The sequence below is a fragment of the Homo sapiens genome, chromosome 4, assembly GCF_000001405.40.
Source record: "Homo sapiens chromosome 4, GRCh38.p14 Primary Assembly".
Taxonomy (NCBI): domain Eukaryota; kingdom Metazoa; phylum Chordata; class Mammalia; order Primates; family Hominidae; genus Homo; species Homo sapiens.
The window spans coordinates 20,248,890-20,264,508 of record NC_000004.12 but is presented as its reverse complement, the minus strand read 5'-3'; the positions used below and the strand labels follow the sequence as shown (position 1 = coordinate 20,264,508).

At 41.1% G+C, this 15,619-nt stretch overlaps 1 protein-coding gene across 7 annotated transcripts in view, besides 2 other annotated features; it reads right to left on the bottom strand.

The window, feature by feature from the left end:
- The window catches only part of SLIT2 (slit guidance ligand 2), a 368,657-nt gene extending 356,053 nt beyond the window's left edge, over positions 1 to 12,604 (bottom strand). For 5 of the 7 annotated variants that reach the window (XM_005248211.3, XM_006713986.3, NM_001289135.3 and 2 more), the window contains exons 1-3: positions 10,515 to 12,604; positions 7,766 to 7,837; positions 6,570 to 6,641 (exon numbers count right to left, since the gene is read on the bottom strand). In XM_005248211.3, coding sequence (XP_005248268.1) covers positions 6,570 to 6,641; positions 7,766 to 7,837; positions 10,515 to 10,693 — 323 coding nt within the window. In that variant the 5' untranslated portion in view covers positions 10,694 to 12,604. Of the gene's footprint in view, positions 1 to 6,569; positions 6,642 to 7,765; positions 7,838 to 10,130; positions 10,277 to 10,514 lie in introns of those variants that run through there. The other 2 variants (XM_011513909.3, XM_017008845.2) reach the window with 1 other exon arrangement.
- Positions 9,891 to 10,689: an enhancer, noted in NCBI's record as "H3K4me1 hESC enhancer chr4:20255443-20256241 (GRCh37/hg19 assembly coordinates)". NCBI's record gives its function as "activates a minimal SCP1, AML or CMV promoter by ChIP-STARR-seq in naive H9 embryonic stem cells {active_cell/tissue: H9 hESC(naive)}" and the evidence as "EXISTENCE:reporter gene assay evidence [ECO:0000049][PMID:30033119]".
- Positions 10,690 to 11,488: an enhancer, noted in NCBI's record as "H3K27ac-H3K4me1 hESC enhancer chr4:20254644-20255442 (GRCh37/hg19 assembly coordinates)". NCBI's record gives its function as "activates a minimal SCP1, AML or CMV promoter by ChIP-STARR-seq in naive H9 embryonic stem cells {active_cell/tissue: H9 hESC(naive)}" and the evidence as "EXISTENCE:reporter gene assay evidence [ECO:0000049][PMID:30033119]".

Sequence of the window (15,619 nt, the reverse complement as noted above, 5' to 3'; positions counted from 1 at the left end):
CAACCTTCCATCTAATTCAAAACGTAATATGAAAACAGTTTTACCAAAGCCAGTAAAATTTTGTGCTCCATATTTACATGTCATATTTACATGTAAATATAAGGTGTTTTTAGCAGCGTGCTAGGTCTGTAATAAATGTTTGATAAATGCTGCCTCAAAGCCTACCATTTCTAACCTCCTATTTCTCCTACATGAATGATCAAGCATAAAACTATTTAGCCTCCTCTTTTGCCACCTTCTCAGGTAAATTTTGACTTCTCTTATAAAAATGTTTTTATTTTAACACTTTTAAAGCACAGATTTTAAAATTTATTTTGTATTATGTAAATAAAATAAAGTTTACATCTTCAGCAGTGATATCAATGATAACTTAATCCCTTGTATTCCTTGCTAGGGATGTCAATACTTATTAGCAAAATATTGCTCCCTCTTTTATCCCCTTACTTCCCGGTATTTCTCTATAGACTCAGAGAGACTATGAGAAACACTCTGAAATAACCATTGAAGGGTTGTTAAGCTTTTCTTCACATCTCTTCAGTTGACCATATACTACGTTAGGAAGAACATTTTTTAAAAATGTAAATATGGTCGTAAAAAGTCAAATGGATCATATATACACTTTAGCAGCTAAGATAAAATAATTCCTAAACTCAGCTATTGAGAAATATGAGAGGTATGTTGAAATGCAGAATAATAGTTATTTAAGTGCTGTGTGCCCAGCATTTTGTGAAGCTATGCACATTATCTTACTTATTGCCACTATGAGATATAATGATTATCCCTGTTTTAAAGATGAGGAAATTGAAGTTTTGAAAGATGAAGCAAGGTGATCAAGATCCCTCAGTGGAATTAAAACCAAAGATTTTCTGATATCACTCTTTTCTAGCGTTTCTGATTTTAAAAGGAGAAAGGGGAGCTTGTATCTGGTTAGAAACCACAATCAACAGTACAATTGATGTGTATTTGCCTGGTATTCCATGAGACACCAAGCATCAGTAGATAAAATAAGATGTCGAAGAACAGGGATTTCTAGATAATCCACACTCTGTGCTTTTACTCTAGAACCTCAAACTGCAGCAAAGAGCCAATGCTCCAGAACTGTCCATCTGTATTCAGAGTGTATGGACATTGCAGAGAGGACACACAAATAATTTTCTGTAAATATTATCGTAAAGCAATATTGATGAGATCAAATCACAGCCCTATTATCAAGCTTTCGTTCTGAAAGCATTTTCATCAATATGCTTTCCAGTCCAGCAGATAACACTTGGTTTGAAAAAACATAATGGCAATATATATGAAGTCCATGCAGAAATGTCTCTCTTTCCATGTCAAGTTGTGAAATTCAGTCTAGAAGACACAATTCAAGCAGAAAGGTATCCAAAAGAAATGAGAGAGGGAATTAAATGTAAAATATTTGACACTGGCTGCTTCCACAAATACATTGTAACAGTGCAAACTAAACTACTCATTTCAGGGGAGGTATAAAGGACACGGCATCCAGCAAACACTGTCACAAAAGAGGACCCAAAACAGATGTGGGAAAAATAAACACCCTCACTGCTTCAGAATTTATAAAATGGTCGACAAAGAGCAAACGGGCCTTCTCACCACCATTAAACTTCAAGGCCCATAAAAACTGTTGCATGAGAAATTCTCTCAGATGGATTCAATGTTCTGCTAAACTTGTAACAGCGCACAGGGATTAAAGCTTTCTATGACCAGCGTCAGTAAACCTAATTTAAAATTGACCACATTGCTTACGAATAGGTGAACATCATTGGCATATAATGGCTATTATATCTTTTGGAACACTTATATTTTATGCTATGTGCATACTCAGCCTCTGTTAGAGTTTGATGTGTCCTTTAAAGAGACTTTCCAAGAAAATGACTGCCATGATTTTAAACTTGTGTGGAAAGATACCAGAAAACAATTCTTTTGAGATGGGCTTGAATTCTTTTCCAAGAAGATTAGCACCGTTAGACTGTCATTCTGTTAAGAAAAGGTATGTGTTATGTGTTGCCTATAAACTTGTCGGATTAGTCAGAAGAGACTAATCCTTGATAAACAGAGAATATATCCAGATCCTTGATGAACACAGGATAAATGATGCTTTCTTTCAGACCTGTTCCACAACATATTCTCTACTTGAACTCATGTGTAAAGACCTACAACAAAAACCCTACCAACATCATACTTCCTCAGCCTCACTCACACTGTCTGTCCCATGCTTAGGAGTGATATGTGTATGCAGGGAGAACTAATTCAGCATCACCTTAAAAAAAATAAATTTGTCTTTTACATACCATCTCATTAGAATGTAGTGTTTAGTCAAATGTAGGCTCCACTGTAAAGGGACTTAGACTTTTCTAATTTAAAAAGAATATGTTCTTTATATCAACTTGCTGGAAACTTTAAATGTCTAAGTTAACAGCTTGACTGTTCAAGATTCCTTACATGGCTTTATCATAATAATATTTTCAGAGCTCATTTTCAAGCATAAATGAGTATCAAATGACAAAGCTAGTGGGAAAAATGTCATTTCAAACCCAATTATACTAACACTAGGAGAAGTTAAAGCAATATTTGTCTTAAAAGCACACATTTACCAAGTATTGGTGGGAAAAGATGAACACTCCACATGCCTGCCTTTGTTATTTCCACAATTTTCTTATTTTAAGGTTACAAGATGGTTGCGGTGTTCACACAAAGCCTAATATCCAAGACTTTTCACAGTATGCTACTGATTCTTACCAACATAACCTAGGCATATATGCATTTCACTTTTCAGTCTTGGAGTAAATAATAAAACATCCTATAACAACCCTAAAAAATTTCAAAAACTTTCTCATACTTTTGCATTTGTATTATCAAGGAAATTTCAAAAGAAGATTGTTTTCACTAGTGGAACCCTGACATGATCTGGGTCCCCCTAAAAGACCATAAAATAGAAGTGAATGACTGTAGTATCTAATCCCATAAACAGTGTGTGAACAAGAGAATTTTACACAAGCCCACAGCATTGCTGGGTCCCAGTGTTATTTTTTTAACCCTCTAGGACATTATGCAGCATCCAAAAAAAACTCAAATTAATAATTTTGCATGGAGAATTTATTGCAGATATACACAGGTATCTTCCTTGAGGTATATAAAAGAAATATACTTCCTAAGTGTCCTGATTCTTACTGCAGCTTATTTGTGACTTTTTTATCCGAATTTCCATTGAATTAACTGGTCATCTAGGTAGAGTACATTTCATTTGAAAATTTTTTTGATTAAACAACAGGAGACCTGCTAATACAGTCTATATAAGGCACATACTGAAGGCTTCATTTTCATCCCAGATAAACAGGTACCACTAGCAATACAGAGCATCCTAGGAAATGTGACTCTGCACATGTTAGGTCTGAGAGTGCAGAAACAAACTGTCAAAACAGAAAATAATGTGTGCTCGTGGTATGCAGACGTGATTACAACTTCCTCCTTTTACAGTGATGCACAACCACATTCTGACAATGATGTGTTATCTCATGTTGTAAGAGAATGGAGGAGAGGGGAGGGAAGGAGCTAGTTAGAGAGGTAAGGAAGAAAGAAAAGAAAATGGAAGAAAAAAAGAAGGAGGTGAGGGAGAGGAGGAGGAAAGAAAGGAGGAGGTATTTTACTATTAACTCCTTGACAGTTTATCTGAAAATGTTGTATTTCATCCACTCTTTGAAAGGGAAAACTATCTTTTATAGCTATAATGTTTTGATTTGCAAATAATGACTTTGCCATTCCATGCTACAATTAAATTCAAATCAACAACATGACTGTTTCTTGCAGATTAAAAAGCTGAATTTTTAAAAGGTACAGATCTTTATCTTCTGTTTTCAGATTTTTCTATAGATCAAGTTAAAAGTCCATCAACATAAAATAAAAGAAAAAGAAAAATGTATAACTATGAAATATTCACAAAATGTAATTTAGAATTATTTTATCATTTTAAAATGAAAATAACTTAAAACCATAAATTACACAAGAATAAAATTAATGTTTTTATTTTATTTTGTTCTTCATACAAGGAATAAAAATTAAATCACTATTCAGTATATAAATGGGATTTACAACATAAACCTAATTTTATACTTTTTTCATAATTGAGTTCCAATTTTAAATTTCACAACTAAATTCTTAAAAACCATATAAATTTACACAATACATAATAAAAAGCTAATTTATTGATTTCTTCTTGTCTCTCACATTGTCTCTTGCAGCTTTTGAAAAAGCAAGCAATTTTTTGGTGTTAATGACACTGACTAAAATAAAGATATATACCACAGGCCATAGCAGTTTGATTATGGAACTCTCTGGGTAGTTTTGGGGTTTTTGTAGTTTTTATTTTTTAAATCAATACAATGAACAAAATTTAAAATAGTTTGTTTCACAATAACTTGAATGCATTCCTTAGCAAACCTGCCTTGCCATTTAATGTATTTTTAAAAAATAAATATTTGAAAAGTGTATCCACAATGTTCCTAAGAAATGGTTTTGAATTCCAGAGTCCAAGGAAATGAATTGGCTGTCAGATAACAATGTGCTTCCATCAGATGGATTTGGCAGTTGTAAACAAAAGGAATTTTCTCAGCTTTTCCTCACAAATATGAAATATTTGCTCTTGGCCAACAGCTGGGGTGATTTAAAGAAGTCCTGCATATATATTAGTTTTCATTCAGAATTACAAATCCTCCTCCCACTCTGAAACATCTGACTTAGTCTTAGTAGAATAGAAAATTGTTCTGAGATGAAGTGACATTCCCAGAGGAAGTAAAAGTCAAAAAATAGTACCTACTTACAACTCTAATCAAATTTCAGAGCATATAGCATCTGGTTAATAAGTTTTAGGAAAAGTTAATTTATTCAAGATGAAAGTTCAGACAACACTCTGAAGTGACTTGAAAAAGAATGAGAAAGTTTGTTTAGTTCTAGTGTCCCTGAAAATATTTAAAACAACAATATAACCAAAATAGAGACTGCATAAAAAGCCATCAAAACTCCTTCAATGGTTTGGAAGTTAACAACTAAACTCAAGATACTTTCCTGTGGTGACTAAAAGTTATTCTTGAAAACATAAAGTTTAAATGATAATTTAAATTATCTATTCATTTTACCAAACATTTGAATTATATTGATGCTTTCTTAAAGATTAAAATATCTTTGCAAGTTACTTACTAGGAATTAGCTAATCACATAGTCTATCAAGGAGATCAAAGAATAAATACTTTCAGAGTATTTTTTATATATTTAGAGATAGGCTATGAACTTATAAGCTTTGTTATGAATGCAACCAAATGTTTACCAATTTTAATTTCCCTCTAAAATTAGTTGAAAGTAGTGATTTTAAATTTATTTTGAATTCCACAATTATAGTCCTTGTATTGTAATATTTAACATAGAGAAAGACCAATAGTAAAATAAAGTAGACATTTCTGTGTTTTACTTGAGGTGATAAAAATATAGTCTATATATTTATAAATATCTTGGAAGGGGACAAACCATTTTTCTACTTATGGACAATTACAGGGAATTAACTTCTGCCCTTTTGCCCAGTGAACCTGAATATGTGTTAAGCTTAAAATGAACATTAGATTTTATTATTTTTTGAAAAAAATTATTTTTACTTAAAGTGACTATTAAGGCAGGCATGAAAACTTATTAAAATAATTGTTGTTTCTTTTACTAGAGCTTTTCTTTGCCTTCAAAATGCAAACATATCAAACCTGAATAATCAAGGCATGTAAGACATACAATTCGTACTTCAATTACAAGGTCTGTAATTTATCTTAATTATTTCAGACAGAGGTTTTGTCTTTTGCAGATATATACTGTAAACATTTTTAAAGTCCTCAAGTAATATGTAAAAAACGTATCTTAAAATCTGAAGTCTACATTTAATCTTCTTGGGAAGAAAACCAACTTTGAATGACCACAATTTGATAACACAGTTCTTACTTTCATAATGTTTAGATTATTTTTCCAGAATAAATATTTTTAAAGCTAGGGCCAAATAAAATAAAACTGAAAAGTAATTATTAACAATAACAATGTTCACCACGCTAAATATAAAAAAGTAAATCTTTATTAGTAAAATATAAAATATTTCATCAAATGTCACTGATAACACACAAAGCACCACCATGAAAATGAAAATAACAATTAGCAAAACTTCTCTCTTCCCTAATGCACCATTAACGCAAATAAAAGTACCACCTTTCTTCCTACATGAGCAAATAAAACAAATCAAATGAAGAATAAGAAATGCTTGTACATCTTTAAGTACCAAAGCAATGATTATCAAGGAAATACATGTCTCAGGAAAGTAACTGTATTTTTGAGCTTAATTACAAGTTAGAACTTTTTATTCAGGAACTCTATTTGTCATAAATTAACCTGAAAACCACTCATTCATCCTCCTTTTTCTGCAAAATTTCAAACCCTAAGACATGAAATTGAAGACATGATGCTTGAAATTTAAGTATTTTTAAAAAACACAGTTATGTTGTCATAACTTTGGAATTGAAAATACTTACAGTCTCTCTAGTTCTTTAAGATCCTGGAATGCTCCTCTTTCAATGGTGCTAATCTTATTCTCCATAAGCTGACTGAAATGCAAAATATAACATGCTTCTTAATGTTACCACTCACCATCTGAATAAATTTCAATTCAGCAACTGAAAACTTGTAAACTCTTTCCCTTTATAAAGTTAAATTGTGCTCTGATTTGAGATCCAATATCAAATTTAATAATAATATATCTGAGTGAACTCATGGAAGGGAAATAGCAGTGTCTGCATCACAAAACTTAATACAAATGCAGTTTCTCATGAGATTTACTGGTCAAAACTCTGACCCTTAAACTAATAGTATATCTGAAGAGTAATCCTTGACACTGAAGCTTTGATAGCTTTCTTTGATACACTGGTTTTCAACTTAACCAAAGAATCAAAATACAGTAATTCATCATATACATACTTCAATTCTGACATGGATACACATCAGCAACTGGAATAATTTGTAATGACCAAAATGTGTCTCTTAAAACTTAGAACACTGAATGCACAATGGTCAAAACTGTATGGCTACTGGGATGTCAATATTTACAATCCTGTGGGTGAGAACAATTTAACATTACATTGACTCGCAAGTGGTGGTTTACTCACAGCTAATTTAACCCACTAATTAAAGAAGTAATCATATTGCAACAATTTTATAGAAGCTACAAAGACACAAAATATAAAAACTCAAAATATGACTAATGTATCATTATAAACTCTGCTGAAAATTTGAATGGTTGATTTTAATGCTTGATATTAGATTTTCGCAAAAAAATAAGAATCCTTTTGTTATCAATAATAAAATACAGATCCACTTAAATATTTTAGTTAATTTCAAATCCTAAAAGTATCAAATGTTTCTTATTACTTATTCATTTTGTGAAAACAATTATTCAACATTTTTATATGCATAAAGCGCTTAGGGTATGGTATAACAAAGATCTGAGGTCATTTCTGGATTATTGGTTCTATGGCATGCTTCCAACCTTAAAATAAAAGCCCCAATTTTTATTAAATGTTGTAGTACAATGATAAACACAGAAAAAAGGAAAGCATGACCTTTTAAATGTTTTATGTTACTGTCATCAGAATAGTCATAAAAACTGAGGCCAGTAATGATTCAAAATATGCAACCTTAAAAAATTATTTAAAAATACAGAGGATGCACTTACAGAACTCTTAGATGTCTAAGACCAGCAAAATCTGTCTTCGTAATTCTTGTGATGTTATTTCCATTTAAATCCCTAAGAGAAAAACCAGAAAGTGAAAGTTCCATTTTATTTCTATGTTTACCTGCTTCAAGTAAAGTTTAGAGTAAATCAGAACTAAAAGTTAATTCAATTACTAAAGTAGTATACAAAGTATGTAGGAAGGAGAAGAGGATAACCTTTAAAAGGATATTTTTAACATGACTCAACACATTTACAAGGTTCATTCTTGCTGGCATATGACAAGAAAATGAAGTGGTTACATTATCACAAAAAAGTTTTCGTTTGTTTTGTGTATGGGAGAGTCCTTTCCATTTTTGTTTCTGTAAGGATTGTATATTAATTTCACAGGTATTCTGCTATTTTACTATAATTGTTAGGCACCCCCCCCAAAAAAAAAGTTCCCTTCAGGAGGTTAAATGCCCAATTTTCTCATGCTATTCAGGAAGAAATTTTATAAAAATTCAGAACACTGTCCTTAGGTAGCATGGTGGCGAAACTTCCTAAGGCACAGAAAAAAATTAGTGCCATCAAAACAACTGCACTTCAAAGACTTGCATTCATAGGCATTTACCTTCCAACAATTCTGTTTGTATTAAAACTTAATTCTTCATTTGCAGCTCAGGGAACCCCGCTGTGATTGTAAAGTGAAAACTACTAACAGGGGCAAGAATGGAAATAGTATTCAGGCCCTGACATTTTTGTTCAGATTTCTGCAGCACTTTTCCTTCAGGAGTCACGATCTCCTTTTCTGGCATTTCAGGTCAAGATCTAAACTTGCCCTGGTTCCAATCACTTCAAGTAAAACCAGGCTTTGCTGCGGTTTGAATGCTCTTCATAGAAGTAAGCTCTATATCACCTTTGACTCTACAACATCATGTTTGAAATCTGTATTCAAACTGTTTCAATGATAGAATTTTACAAGTCAGCACCCAGTAAACTATTTTCTGGAAACTTTTTGTTCATCCCTCATAAGGATGTATATTTTTTCAAGGACCTGAAATTCAATTGCTACGCTCCCCCCTCACCCCCACCCACCCAAGTGCATTCCCTTTTTGTTGAGTAAGACATGTTCGTGCTTAAACTTTAAACTGTTCTGAATAGCATGAAATGACAAGTGCTAAAACAGAATTCTGCGTGGCTTCTCTTCCTTTCTACTCAACCCACTTCTCCATGCTAAGCAGAGTACCATTCAGTTGTTCCTAAAATTGTTGGGCTATTCGATATAACACGAATCTCCACCCACCACCCTACACAAATGTGGATCGAATCCTGACAAGGCACCCCTAGTAGAGCCCCGATTTGGCCAGCTCGGAGAGGTGAGAAAGGAGTAAGGGTAACCTAGTGAGGCTGGGGGTAGAAGAGCCATTTGCAAAGCAAAAGGTGGCTCAACTTGGGCCTTAAAACTAAGGGCGAGAGAAATGGGTTGGATAAGAAGGGCGACTTGAAGTGCAATGGGCTGCGCGGGTGGAGACGTGCGGGTCAGAGCGCCTCCTCTCCACGGCCCGAAACCCTTACACCCCGGGGGCAAAGAGGCCGCGGGACGAATCCAGACGCGCTGGCCCCTGCCGGCCTAGCCCCGCGCCCTTCGCTTACTCCCGGCCCACACGCAACCGCGAGAGCGGAACGTGCCTAGGGCGGCCGGACTGGCGCGGGGCGGCGGCCTCGGCGTTCACAAAGAGAACGGCCTCCATGCTCCACTTCGCTGAACTCTGGAAGCGCCTCATCAGGAGCGCGTGGGCCGTCAACACCGGGTCTGCATTTACTTCTTCATTAGAGACTCGCAAAGACAGGGAGGCGGGGACGTCTGCGAGCAACGGAGCGCGAAGAGGGGAAGGCAGGGGAACTGCTGCCACGTGAAGGGGCGCAGAAACTGCCAGAAAGGTGGATGGGGACGCAGGGGTTCAGCAGGAAGGGCCGGAGGGGGCAGCCGGGCACCGCCGGGTCGCCGCAGTGGTAAGACCTGGTTGGGCTGGTTTGCGCTGGAGAACCAGTGCTAACTTCGCTTAACGGATGGGACACGGTCCTCCCTCGCAGTCGCCCGCTGAGACAAGTCCCTAGGGGCCTGACGCCGTCTTCCCCTCCCCGGAGAAGTGGGGGGCGGGGGGCTGCGCGAGGCTACTATGCGAGGTGTCGCCGTCCTGGGGCACCCTTCTCCCCGCGACCTGTGAGAAGCACCCCCAGGCACTCCATGACCCCTTCTTCCTAACCTTCGCCCCCAGGAGGGTGACAAAAAATCGGGGAAGGCAAGTTTCTCTCTTTTGAGTCTCCCTGCTATCCCCTCCGCGCCAGCCTGCGACAAGAGCGAGGACTGGGCTCTGAAACCGACCTGGATGCTGGCAATCGCAAGGTGACTCCGTTTATGGACTCTGGAGAACAAAGTGGCGTCTCACTTGCCCCGGGCATCCTCCAGTACTTGTCCCCTATCTACCCGCTCCCCAGCCCCAGAGAACTAGCCAGCAAGGAGCTGCGAGTGGCGGGACGAGAGCAGGGGAGGGAGAACTAGCGCAGCTGCCAGCGGACCCGCCCCTCCTTGGACAGAGGCCCTTCCCTGGCCAGTGCCCTCCCGGAGAGCTCAACCCCAGGATGTGCATGGGGGAGAGCTAGCGAGGGCTGCCCCAGGCACAGGACCCTGAGCTGACAGGTTCCTCCAGTGGAGGCAGGGGTGCGCGGCCCGGATGGGGAGAGGGGAAGACGAAGAGCGCATACTCACAGTCTCTCGGTGTTGCGGGGGATATTCCTGGGCACGCTGCGCAGCGCCAGCCCGTGACAGTCCACTGTGCTGCCCGAGCAAGAGCACTGCGCCGGGCACGCCTGCGGTGCCACCTTGTTCAGGATCGCCAGCACTAACCCCAGCGACAGGGACAGCATCTGCCAGCCAACGCCGCGCATCTTTCCCCGCCGCCTCCTTCCTCGCCGGCACTGGGGGCTTTCTTTAGCTTGCTGCTCCGAGGGAACCGCGCAGTGTCTGAGGCCCAGTGCCCGGCGGGGCTAGCAACCCAGAGTGCCAGGGAAAATGTGCACCAAATAATATGGAACAAGGCAGTAGAGCCCACTCAGGCACACGCCTCCCACCGCCCTCTCCACCCTCCTCTGGCAGAGCAGGAGCTCCTTGGGCAACTTTAGGTCCTGAGGATGAATCCGCCTGGCCAGGGCTGCAAGGAGACCCCAAGAGCAGCGGAGAGGAGATCACGCGTCTTCTGTCTCCCAAGGATGAACTTGGCGGTAAAAGAGCTGGGGCTTCCAACGGCTGCTAAGATGCAGGGGCCGGTTGTTGTGGGGAGGGCGGTCCTCTGATCCCACGCACGCTTCTGCAAATCCGATGCCAGTGGCGAAGGTACAAGACAGAAGAGGGGATCTCAATAGGTATTATGGCCCCGATCAAAGTGGGCTCCGGAAGCTAGAAGGCGCGGAAGCCCAGCGGGCCCGTAGCAGAGCGCGCGGGGCAACTGGGCATGGCGCGCGGGGGTGCACGGGGCGGACGCGCAGTTCTGGGGGCGCACGGCTCTGGACTCTGCTCACTCACGCGGCCTCTCCCTCGCCCTCGACTCCGCCGCAGCCTGGACCGGTCCTCGCGGTCTCCCGACAGCCAACGATGGTTTACAAACACACATGCACTTCGCTGAAGGATGTCTGGGCAATCCCGCCTCCCGCTCGGCGTCCTTGGCGACGCTCTGCACCAGGACCTGCCCCGAGGTCACGCAGAAAAGACAAAAGGGCAGTCGGGCCGCCGCAGCCGGGCAGAAATATCCACTAGTCAGCACTCCGGCGAGGAACTCCAAGAGGCCAAGTGGAGGATGAGAGCTGCTGCGAAGACTGAGTGGGGACTGACTGGGGGCGGACTTAAAAACCAGGCAGACCGGAAGGAGTGGAAAGGCAAAGGCCAAGGTTGGAGGTGTCAGCGTCCTGCTGGGGCGTACTGGAGAATGGCTCGGTGGCAGGTGGGCGGGTGGGATCCACTACTCCAGGCAGAGCCAGGCGGCAGCTGAATGGCAGTAGTGTGTGCGCGCGTGTCAACCCCGCTCGTCTCCCAGATAAGCCGCAGCTCCGCGGCAGACACCTGATGGCAAAGGTAGAAGAAACAAGAGCCGGGTTCCGGAGGGCGCAGAGCCACGGCCGGCCCCCGGCGGTCTCCCACTAGTGGTTCGTCCTTCTCAAAGTGCAGCAACTTTTCCCAGGCTTTGAATTCCGTCCCCCAAGGCCACAGTGGCGGTACCCCTGCCGGCGTGGCGACGCCGCCCGGCTCCTGGCGCTGCACCTGACGCGGCGGCCGCAGTCCCGGGTAGTCCTTCTCCTTCTAGCCCCTTCCCCTCTCCCGCTGCTTTCCTGGCCTCCCGCTCCAGGGAGCGAGGTCGGGGAGAGGGAGGGCGACGACTCAGAGCGGGGACTCGGTGGCTCTGCCGACTCCGGAGCCCCTGGCAAGTGTCTAAACAATAGGACGGACGCAGCAGCCCAAGTCTCGCTTGTCTGGAAGGAAGGTGGGTTGTTGTCGTAACTGGAGTTGTTCGCTGGGGCTGACTGGCGCTCAGCGTAGCCAAACAAAAACCCGGCCCGCGCCTCCGGAGCCGGCTGCGGGCCCCCGGCGCTCCCCTTTCTGCTCAGCACTCCCGCCGTGCCCAGAAAGCGCGGCAGCTTCGGCCTGCGCCTGGGCGCTTCGGCGCTCCCATGCCTCGCAGCTGCCTCCGCCTCCGCCGCCGCCGCCGCCGCCGCCTTCTTTTTTTTAACCACAGTCTGCGGCAGCCACCACCACCGCCGCCGCCAAGCTCCGCCGTCCGGGCGCTTCCCAAATAAATAACACCAAGTCCGAAGTTGAGCCGGCGCGGGCCTTATATAGCCGCCCGAGCCTCCGCCCCCTGACCCCGCCCCTCGAGGCCCAGGCCCGCCCCCTGGCTCCGCTCTGGGAGCCCGCACCTCGCTGGGGAGAGGGGAGAGGTGAGGCCGGGGCTGCCAGCGCTGGGCGGAGGCGGCGGCTGGCGGCGCGCGTTCCCGTGCGCCCTGGCTCGCCCCCTCGCTCCCACGCGCGGGCAAACTTGGCCCGAAGAAGGAGCCACCCGAGCCCCAGCCCCCAACTCCTTGGCCCCAGAGGTGACCTGGGCTCGGAGATAGTCGTTTGCAGTGGGAGAATGGGAAGAGGTCGGCTTTGAACGCGGCTCATAAATAAACAGCCCTGCCAGTGCCTCTCCTGCAGCTTTTGCCACGCGATCCTTAAGGGGGCTGCTCACTCTTTGCAGCGCAGCAAGAGACAGAGAGACAGAAACAGAGAAATTATGATTTAAATTTAAGAAAAATCCTACCGAAATAGATCTGCCTGCGCTTACAGACACACACGTGTATTTTGGGGAGCTGAAAAGTTCAGTTTTTGCAAGTTGGAAAACAGCATTTTCCAACCTTCTTGCTTGCCTTTCTATCTCCAAGCCACCCCCTTCCGTTTAACCCTTCCTTTGTAGACACACACTGAACCACACCGTGGTCAGTTGATGTCTTGGATATTCAATAGGCTCACAAAACTCTTAAGGGCTTGAACGTATCTGTGTGATTTTTTACTCTCTTATGAGAGAAAGGAGGGGAAAAAATAAATCCCTAGCAACGCACATTATACCAGAAGGTTTTCTTTATTTCAGGGCAGTTCTGGATATTTTTTTCCCCGCTATGTTTTGAAAGAGAATTTCCTTGTTTCATCTTGTCTCTTTAGTGTGACGTATGTCTGGCAACGGCTGCCTCTCTCGCCCCCCTTTCCCCCCCAGCAAGAGCCAATGTCACTGTAAGTTTGAAATGACATCTAAATGACTCTGCTCCTTCTCTTGGATTTAATATGCATCATATTGTTGTTCTTCCTCCCATTTCCACGTTAAGAAGCTTTCCCTGGAATTTGTGCAAGCCCCCGCCTAATACCAGCCTCATATTGTAGTAGTTATTTGTATAATTATTAGAAGCTTCCTTGAAAGCAAGACCTGTCCAACTCTTTGTATTTCCAGCATCTATGCCTGCCACATAATAGGTTTCCTCATAAGTAACCGATTTCTTTAACTCAAGAGTATGCTCAACCTAAAATCTCTGCAATATCCTCATTAACGTTTTTCCTGGTTAACATTTTCTAAGATGTCCTTTCATAATGGCTACCCCTACTTACCTCATTTTGCCTGCCTTGGAAAACGTAAGCCTTTTCGAGGACACGCCCAAAGGCAGGGTACCATCTGATAACTGAATTGGAACTCTTAGGATTACTCATTTTAATGCCACAGATTTATATTGCTCTATTCTTTTAAAACCTTCAAAAACATTTGACATTTATTAACTCATTTGTCCTTCTAGATTTTAGCTTAAAGGTCTGTTATGTAACTTCCTTGAGGAGGAGAAAAAAGAAGCCCTTGTCACATTTTCTTGTAAGGAAAATGAGATAAAGAACAAGTACCTGTCATTGAGGAAGGAGCTCCCCCAACCCTCAGTGAATTTTCCTTAGTGTGTACCAGTAAATTATGTGGTTAAATATGGTTGCTGATACATTAATTTATTTAATTTCACAACTTTAATATCTTGTCAGCAACAAGAGGTGTTTGTGTTCAACTTTGTGCACCACATAGAATTGTTGTTCCATATTTTAATTCCAAGAACATATCCTGCATTCCAAATATTTATAAATAATATTATTGATATTGTTGCATAAGTGAAATTCACAGACATAAGTTCAAGTTTCATTCTATCTCTGATCACTTTCTGTTTTGTGTAAAACCAAGGAGAAACTAACATACATAGCAACATGCCTACAGAAACATCTTTTTAAAATTTGAAGCCAATTTAAATAAGAAGCTATGTTCAGTGGATTTCATTCAGAAAAAAGAAAGACTGTAATTAATTCTTGAGAGGCATATCTTACTATTTTTTGCGTTATTAACTTTTTAGTTGATAAGGGGAATTTTATACATACATAAACAACCAGGTCTCCTGTCCTTTAACATATTACTGTATTATTCCATTAGTATTACTGCAGGATGTTTGTTGAAGGCCTTGCAGGCTTCAGAAACATTAACTTCTAGGTCTTAATTCTTTATGGATTATTTTGCTCCCATATGAATTTCTGAGTTTCTCTTTCACTGTTAAACCCAGCCTGAAGAAAGCCTTCTGTGGTGCCTCTTGTCACCACATGAGGTCTCCATAAATCCTGACCTGGATTAAGCAGAAGTGGAATCCACTATAGCCAATATCCGAGTCTCCTATTATCTTGCAAAAAAAAAAAAAAAATCCAGTTCGTACAATAATTTGGAAACAATGTAGACAATCACCTATGCAGCAAAGAAATAAAAAGCATCAGAATAATGTGTAGGTTATTAAATGTCTAATAAACTTTGCATTTTTTTGAAATAAAAAGGTTGTGAAGTTGGGTTATATGGGAAAAGGGAGGAAGAAAAGAGAATTTACGAAAAAGAGATAAAGAAGAGTAAAAATTATTGTTCTCTGTCTTTTTAAACAGAGGTAGGTAACAGTAATTGCATTGATCAAATTCATGAAACTTAATTCCTTGAATTTAACTGCCTTCATGTTACTATTTTCCATTGTTGCAATGTGTTCATTTTAATTATTTGATATTTCTTTCATTTAAATTATCTGATATTTCTCACAATATCTTTGTATTGGAAACGTAGACATGGAACCCTAATATAATGGAAATTAAGATTTAACCAAAATTTGTTTCAAGCCTACTAAATTCCAAGCTATTTGACAGAGTTACATCCACAGTGATGGTTGCTATTTCACTCCTTACAGTAGAGGATGTTGGTCTTCATGCAAGTCGCAGCTTATTAAATGGCAGAGCTAGAACCA